We start from the raw sequence: 8,902 nt of genomic DNA on the forward strand, positions 1-8,902 counted from the left end.
AAAAAAAAAAAAAAAAAAAAGATTTGTTTATTCTGGACATTTTACATAAATGGAATAGTATGTGGCTTTTATGTCTGGTTTCTTTCACTTAGCACAATGTTTTCAAGGTTCATTCATGTTGTAGCATGTATTAATAACTCATTTCTTTTTTTGTCTTCCAATATGATCTCAAGACTCATTTTTTATGGTGAATAATATTCCAGTGAACGGATAGAATATATTTTGTTTATATCATTCACTAATTTTTAATTTTTTTTTTTTTTTTTTGAGACAGAGTCTTGCTCTGTCGCCCAGGCTGGAATGCAGTGGCGCGATCTCAGCTCACTGCAAGCTCCGCCTCCCGGGTTCATGCCATTCTCCTTCCTCAGCCACCCGAGTAGCTGGGACTACAGGCGCCCACCACTATGCCCAGCTAATTTTTTGTATTTTTAGTAGAGACGGGGTTTCACTGCATTAGCCAGGATGGTCTCAATTTCCTGACCTCGTGATCCACCCACCTCAGCCTCCCAAAGTGCTGGGATTACAGGCGTGAGCCACCGTGCCCGGCTTTAATTTTTTTTTTTTTTTTTGAGACAGAGTTTCCCTCTGTCACCTAGGCTGGAGTGCAATGGCGCGATCTCAGCTCACTGCAACCTCCGCTTTCCAGGCTCAAGCGATTCTCGTGCCTTAGCCTCCTGAGTAGCTGAGATTACAGGCAAGCGCCACCATGCCTGGTTAATTTTTGTATTTTTAGTAGAAATGGGGTTTCGCCATGTCAGCCAGGCTGGTCTTGAACTCCTGGCCTCAAGTGATCCGCAGGCCTTTGTCTCCCAGAGTGCTGGGATTAGAGGCGTGAGCCACACCGCCCAGCCTCTTAAAATTTTTTTAATTGTAGTAACATACACATAACATAAAATTGACCATTTTCAAGTGTACAGTTCGATGGTATTAAGTCCATTCATGTTGTTAAACAACATGGTCTATACTGGCTGTTGTGCAACCATCACCACCATCCATCTCCATGGCTCTTCTCATCTTGCAAAACTACCACCCTGAACCATGAAACAATAACTCCCCATTTCCTCCTCCCCACAGCCCCTGGCAACCACCATTCTACTTTCAGTCTCTGAATTTGACTACGCTAGGTACTTCATAGAAGTGGAATCATACAGTACTTATCTTTTTGTCACTAGCTTATTTCATTTAGCATAATGTATTCAAGGGTCATCCATGCTGTAGCATGTGTCAGAATGTCCTTCATTTTTAAGGCTGAACAATGTTCCATCTTCTGTTTATACCGCATTTTGTTTATCCATTCATCCACTGATGGACACCTGGGTTGCTTCCACCTTTTGGCTATTGTGAATAATCTGCGAATGAACATGGGTGTACAAATATCTCTTTGAGACCTTGCTTTAAATTCTTTTGGGTATATACTCAGAAGTGGAATTGCTGGATCAAATGGTAATTCTATTTTTTAATTTTTAAGGAACTGCCACAATGCTTTCTATACCATTTTACATTTTCATTGACAGTGCACAAGGGTTCCGATTTCTCCACATCCCCAACTTCTATTTTTTTTTTAAGACGGAGTCTCACTCTGTCGTCCGGGCTGGAGTGCAGTGGCACTGCAACCTTCTGCCTCCCAGGTTCAAGCTTTCTCCTGCCTCAGCCTCCTGAGTAGCTGGGATTACAGGCATGCGCCACCATGACCAGCTAATTTTTGTACTTTTAGTAGAGACGAGCTTTCACCATGTTGGTCAGGCTGGTCTCGAACTCCTGACCTCATGATCCACCCGCCTCAGCCTCCCAGAGTGCTGGGATTACAGGCATGAGCCACCATGCCCAGCCCCCACTAACTTCTTATTTTCCATGTTATTTATTCATTTTTAAACAAGCATTCATTGAGTACCTACTATGCCACAGCTCTATACTTGGTAGAAACTGAGGCTGCCAAAATGTTAAATCTGTTTCCCTGCTCTTAGAACTTAGGAAACAATGGAGAAACAGTCATGTTCAAGAGATAGAGTGAAATGCAAGGTGATAGGTGCCTAATAGAGATGGAATCAATGGTAGATTGGATAAAGAAAATGTGGTACAGGCCGGATGCTGTGGCTCACGCTTGTAATCCTAACACTTTGGGAGGCCCAGGCAGGTGGATAGTCTGAGCCCAGGCGTTCGAGACCAGCCTGAGAAACATGGTGAAATCCCGGCTCTACAAAAAAAATACAAGTATTAGCTGGGCTTGTTGACGCGTGCCTGTAATCCCAGCTACCTGGGAGACTGAGGTGGGAGGATCCCCTGAGCCCAAGGAGGTGAAGGCTGCAGTGAACCATGATGGTGCCACTGTACTCCAGCCTGGGTGACAGAGTGAGACCCTGTCTCAAAAAAAAAAAAAAAAAAAAGAAGAAGAAGAAGAAGAAGAAAATATGGTACATATATACCAAGGCCGTAAAAAGAACGAGATCATAGCCTTTGCGGCAACATGGATGGAGCTGGAGGCCATTATCCTAAGTGAGCTAACACAGGAGCAGAAAACCAAACACTGCATGTTCTTATAGATGGGAGCTAAATACTGAATACCCACGGACACAAAGAAGGGAACAGACACCAGGGAGACACCAGGGCCTACTGGAGGATGGAAAGTTGAAGGAGGCTAAGGATTGAAAAACTACCTATAAATACACAGATACTATGCCTGTTAACTGGATGACAAAATAATATGGACACTGAATCCCCATGACATGGAATTTATCTATGGAACCAACCTGCACATGTACCCCTAAAACAAAAATAAAAGTTAAAAAAAAAAAAGAGAGAGAGATGGAGGCTGGGCGTGGTGGCTCGCGCCTGTAATCTCAGCACTTTGGGAGGCTGAGGTGGGTGGATCACCCGAGGTCAGGAGTTCGAGACCAGCCTAGCCAACATGGTGAAACCCCATCTCTACTAAAAATACAAAAATAGTCGGGCATGGTGGCGGGCGCCTGTAATCCCAGCTACCTGGGAGGCTGAGGCTGGAGAATCACTTGAACCCAGGAGGCAGAGGTTGCAGTGAGTCGAGATCATGCCACTGCTCTCCAGCCTGGGCGACAGAGTTATACTCCATTTCAACAACAACAACAACAAAAAGAAAAAAAAAAGAAAAAAAGAAAACGGCGTGTGATTTCTGAGGATGCATCAGAAGAGACTTTTGGCTTCCTTCCTGGCTCCCTGGTGGATCTCTTGTTCTGGGTTAAGGCATCCGCCATGTCAGGAGGACACTCAAGAAGCGTTCAGGAGAGCCCCGAGGGAGGACCTGGCACCTTCTGCCATCTTGTCACTATTGGAGAGTGCCAGCATCACCTTGTCAGCTGTGTGAGGAAGCCACCCTGGGAGCCGATCCTCCAGCCCCACTAAGCCTTCAGATGATTGCAGCCTTGACCAACATGTGACTGCAACCTTATGAAAGCGCCTGAGCCAAAACCATCACCAAGCTGCTCTTGATTTTCTGACTAAAAACACCCAGAACCCAAAAAACTGTGAGATAATACATGCTTATTGTTGTTTTAAGTAATTAAGTTTTGAAATACTTCATTACACAGCAAGAGATAACTAATGCAGCTAGAAGCATGAAAATATCTGGCATAGTGTGGAAATGGCGAGAAATGCATTGAGGCTGGCACGAGAGGTTAAAGCCAGAAACTTGGAGTTGAAAGAGATGCTTCTGAAATGCCATGTTTCTCCATAAGAGTGGGCAAGGGAGCCATCTGGTGGAGGAGGCATGCTTAGACATTCCCTTCTCTCTTCCCTGATTTCTCCAGCCTGTTCTCCTCAGCATTTCCACCTAGTATTTCTCCAAGGGCCACAGTGAGGTTTATGAGTCAAGTATGTGGGCCATAAACACACTTGCTTATTGAAGCAAATACTAACCTCTGCAAAATGTCAAGGTAAGATATTATCTTCAGTGATTATTTAATTTTCTCCCTTAGTCTCTTCTACCTGTCTGCTACCAAGGGGAAAACATCAGCAGCACCAGGAGTTGAGGCAGAATGCTGCAGGAGGGAAAGAAGGAACTAGAACTTGATTATGGAAAAATCAGAATTAGACTCGAGAGAGCACAGTCAAGCTGGTCCGTCTCTTAATTATAAGGGGAGGCCTTTATTCATCGCTACAGGCCACGACTATTGTCCCTTTCTGGTTTTTAAAGCCTTCTTGTATCCTCCAATGTTCCCTCCAGATAATGTCTAGAAATTCTTGAATAATATCTCTCAATTCTATAGCTGCTGGAAGAGAAAACAAATACTATTACTCTCCACTGTCAGACTGAGGCCAAGGAGGAGGAATTGCAAAGAAACTAAAATTTACCTTTGGAGTAAATTACCAGTGTGAGAATTTCAGGCACTTAGGATATATATATTATTATTATTTTTTCGAGACAGAGTCTTGCTCTGTCGCCCAGGCTGGAGTGCAGTGGCACGATCTCCGCTCACTGCAACCCCCGCCTCCTGGGTTCAAGCAATTCTTCTGTCTCAGCCTCCTAAGTAGCTGGAATTACAGGCACGCGCCACCACACCCGGCTAATTTTTATATTTATTTATTTATTTATTTTGAGACGGAGTCTAGCTCTGTCGCCCAGGCTGGAGTGCAGTGGCATGATCTCGGCTCACTGCAATCTCCGCCTCCTGGGTTCACACCATTCTCCTGTTTCAGCCTCCCCACTAGCTGGGACTACAGACGCCCACCACCATGCCCGGCTAATTTTTTTGTATTTTTAGTAGAGCCCAGGTTTCACCGTGTTAGCCAGAATGGTCTCGATCTCTTGACCTTATGATCTGCCCACCTTGGCCTCCCAAAGTGCTGGGATTACAGGCGTGAGCCACCGCGCCCGGCCTGATTTTTATATTTTTAGTAGAGACGGGGTTTCACCTTGTTGGCCAGGCTGGTCTCAAACTCTTGACCTCAGGTGATCTGCCCGCCTCAGCCTCTCAAAGTGCTGGGATTACACGTGTGAGCCACTGTGCCTGACCGGTACTTAGGTTATTAAAGAAAAAAATTTATTTTTCTTAAGAAGGGTGGGGACTCCTTAGCTTAAATACTACATTGTTGAACACAAAACTTTCCCCATCCTCTCACTTAGATTAAGTCTGCCTCTTCTCTCTGCTCCTACGGTTACAGTAGAATCCCCTGCTTTATATCATGGCTCAGTCAAGTCAGCGTCTTCTGTTGAACTAAGAGTTCATAGAGGGTAGAATTTCTGTCCAGTTCATTCTTGCTGGTTTCACAGTCATTGTTTTAAGAAATGATTCATGACCAGCCTGGGCAACATAGCAACACCTCATTCTACAAAAAAAAAAAAAAAAAAAAAATTGGCCAGGCACGGTAGCTCACACCTGTAATCCCAGCACTTTGGGAGGCTGAGGCAGGCAGATCACGAGCTCAAGAGATCGAGACCATCCTGGCCAACATGGTGAAACCCCGTCTCTACTAAAAATACAAAAATTAGCTGGGCGTGGTGGTGTGCACCTGTAGTCCCAGCTACTCGGGAGGCTGAGGCAGGAGAATCGCTTGAATCCGGGAGGCGGAGCTTGCAGTGAGCCAAGATCGTGCCACTGCACTCCAGCCTGATGACAGAGTGAGACTCCGTTTCAAAAAAAAATAAAAATAAAAATTAAGTAGCTAGGTGTTAGTGGTGTGCACCTGTAGTCCCAGCTCCTCTGGAGGCTGAGGCAGGAGGATTGTTTGAGCCCAGGAATTAGAGTGAGCTATGATTGCACCATTGCACTGCAGCCTGGGCAGCAGCAGAAGACCCTATCTCAAAAATAAAATAAAATTACATTAAAAAAGGAAAGAAAGATAAGAAAAAGAAAAAAGAAATGGGCATTGTTCTGGGGCTTTTGTTGAAAGAGATGTGAATTCTGTGCTCCAAGAGGAAACTGACACGCATGCGCTCATTCAAGGAACATTTGTTGGTACCTCCTTTGTGCTAGATGCTGGACACAGAAATTATAGGCAGTTCCCTCAGGACTCTCACTGTCTAGAGAGAGGAGGAGGCACCAAGTGCTGGGGTGGGGCAGGCCCACGGAGCCAAGTCAGAAGGGCACGTAATCCAGACAGTGGCTGCTGATGGGGAAGGTGTCAGAGAAGTCTTTCTTCAGGGGTGAGATCTGAGCTGAATTTTGGAGGAAGAATAAGAGCTGGCCAACTAAAGAATATGGGGCGCAGTGGCTCACGTCTGTAATCCCAGCGCTTTGGGAGGTCGAGGCAGGTGGATCACCTGAGGTAAGGAGTTTGAGACCAGTCTAGCCAACATGGTGAAACCCCATCTCTACTAAATACAAAAAATTAGCCAGGCATGGTGGTGCATGCCTGTAATTCCAGCTACTTAGGAGGCTGAGGCGGAAGAATCGCTTGAACCTGGGAGGCAAAAGTTGCAGTGAGCCAAGATTTCTCCATTGCACTCCAGCCTGCGCAACAAGAGCAAAACTCTATCTCAAAAAAAAAAAAAAAAAAAAGGTGAGAGTAGTCTGTAGAAAGGTACAGTAATGGGAGAAGGTGTGACATATCCGAGAACTGCCAGAGTTGAATACACCAGGCTTTGGTTTTATCCTGGAGGTCACAGGGGGCCACTGAAACTATCCACCAAGAGAGTGGTCTGAGAAAGGTACAGAGGGGTGGACAGGGTGGGGGATGGGAGTGGGTGGGGAGTGGCGATGGCCTATCCTGGAATTCAGACCTGAGGCCAGGTTAGGAAACGAAGAAGAGGGGCCTTCAGAGGCTATCTGCATGACAGACCCAGGAGCTTTCGGGGAAAAGACCCATCCTAAGGGAGGAGAGGCAGAGTCCAGCAGATGGGCCTGGACCACCACAAAGCTCAGTCCATTTCTCTAAGGGGTGGTGAGTGGATTTCTGTATATGGCTTAGTGATATGTGTGGGAATTGGATCTTTCTACATTTTGGCCTTTCGTGGATTCTTGTCTGATTTTTGGGCTAGGGGTGGTGGTGGTAGGGCTTTGAGTAAAAATAAAAATCACAATGATTGCTAACGATTTTTGAACACTTATAACATGTCAGGAATTTACATACTTTAGCTCATTTAATTCTCATCACAGCCCCACACTGAGGGTACCACTATGGTTATCCCCATTTTACAGCTGGAAAAACCAACCAAGCAATTCATCTGAGGAGAAGCCCTCCTACCTTACTTATGTTGGGACTGGCGCATGCCGGGTAATTGACAAAGTCAACTAAAGCAGGGAGCTTTGAGAAAAATACCTACACAGGGTAAGCATTTACTTTTGGGACAATCGTCAATTTATACATAGTTATAAGAACTAACACAGGGTGATCCCACAGACTACCCCCCAATGGTAACATCTTGCAACCCTTCTTAACAGAATGCCTACTATGTGCCAGGTACTGCTTTAGGTGCTGGAGACATAGACACGGGAAACGAAACATTAGCTGACAGAAGCCACAAGAGTGAATGAGATCCTCACGGAGTGCCTTGAGTCAGAAGAAAGAAGGGTAGCAAAAGGAGCCCCAGCATTTGAGGGGTAGGAAGAAAAGCCCTAAGGAGACCTTGAAGGTCGGAAAGAGAGGAGAGGGTGGTGTCATGGAAGCTAAGGTGGACAATGGTGCCAAAAAGGAAAGAGATTCCAGTGCTTCTGAGGTCATCTGCAAGGAGGACTGGGAAGTGTCCATTGGATTTAGCAGCCAGGATGTCACAGGTGAGCAGGCAGGTAGCCCAGAAATATGGAGGGGAGCAGGACCACAGTGCAGTGAGGAGTGAATTGGGCGAGGAAGCAGCGGTAGAGAGCACTTCACAGTGAGTCTTCCAACTCATGTAGGAAAGAGGGGGTAAAGTTAGGCTAAAGGAGAAATTTTCCATGAATTTTGTCTCTAGAATGATGATTAAGAGTTAGCGAGAGTCAAGATTTCAGGCCTGTTAGAGCAAAGCCCTAAGGAAATAAGAGTTGGACCCTGGAGCACAGCTAAGTCCTGGCTGGAGGGATGGGCCTGTCTTTCTGAAAGGAGATAATGGAGGAAGAGATGCAGTTAAAGCTCTGTGGCTACTTGAAGAGGGAAGTGATTACTTCCAGCTGGGGCACTCAAGGAAGGGATACAGACATTTGAGTGCCAGGGGCATTTGAGGGTAACAGTGGAGGGGTTCAGTTGGCCAAAGTTAAAGGCAGCTGAAAGATGGCAGGAGACAAGACCAGGAAATGCAGACCAAGGTGGGTGGTGGTATGGTTGGGGCGTTGGGGTCAGATGACACATAAGCTTCAAATTCCAGCTCCCATTTGCTTCTTAGCTGTGACTCTAAAGAAGTTCCTTAACACGTCTGAGATTCCCCATCTGTAAAATGGCGACAACCCTAATAGGGTCGTTGGAGGAGAACTAGATAATGTCTAAAAAGAGCTCAGTCCGGTTCAGTGCTTGGCTCCTCTGTACCTGAGCGCTAAGTCACTAATATAAAGCCATCGGATGTGTGCTTTAAGGGAAATTAACTGGGCCACACGGTGTGAAGTGAACTGAGCTGGGAGAGGCCTGCACAGGACCTTGTACACACTAGCTACTCCGGAAACAACTGCATGCTCTGCTGGGCATCTCATACAGGATACGGTGTCTTTCCGGGGCTCACACACAGTCCCCAGTTCAGTTCCAAAGTTGGAAGGAAAGAGGATGAAGACGTAAATTCTTCATTTAAGCCTCTCGCCAACTGTTCCCTGCGGCAAGGCAGGGCAACGAGCTGCAGGGTCGCCAAGCACGTGCTTCCAAGGGTCCTCAAGGCTTTGTGAACGGCGGCCGGCCAAGGACAGAATTAACTCCAGCCTGGAGCGCGCGGGAAAGACGCGCAGGCGCACTGCTGGCAAGGGTGCTTGCCTGTGCTGGGGTGGGCGGAGCTAAACCCGGAGCGGGATGACGTCATGAGGACGCAGCCGCA

General features: G+C 46.5%; 2 annotated features.

Moving 5' to 3' along the window:
• Window positions 3,591-3,885: a silencer, noted in NCBI's record as "tiled region #11334; K562 Repressive DNase unmatched - State 12:CtcfO". NCBI's record gives its function as "represses a minimal TATA promoter and a strong SV40 promoter by Sharpr-MPRA in K562 cells {active_cell/tissue: K562}" and the evidence as "EXISTENCE:reporter gene assay evidence [ECO:0000049][PMID:27701403]".
• Window positions 8,623-8,772: an enhancer, noted in NCBI's record as "active region_3859". NCBI's record gives its function as "activates an Ori minimal core promoter by ATAC-STARR-seq in GM12878 lymphoblastoid cells {active_cell/tissue: GM12878}" and the evidence as "EXISTENCE:reporter gene assay evidence [ECO:0000049][PMID:35858748]".

This window comes from Homo sapiens, chromosome 10 (assembly GCF_000001405.40).
Source record: "Homo sapiens chromosome 10, GRCh38.p14 Primary Assembly".
Lineage (NCBI taxonomy): Eukaryota > Metazoa > Chordata > Mammalia > Primates > Hominidae > Homo > Homo sapiens.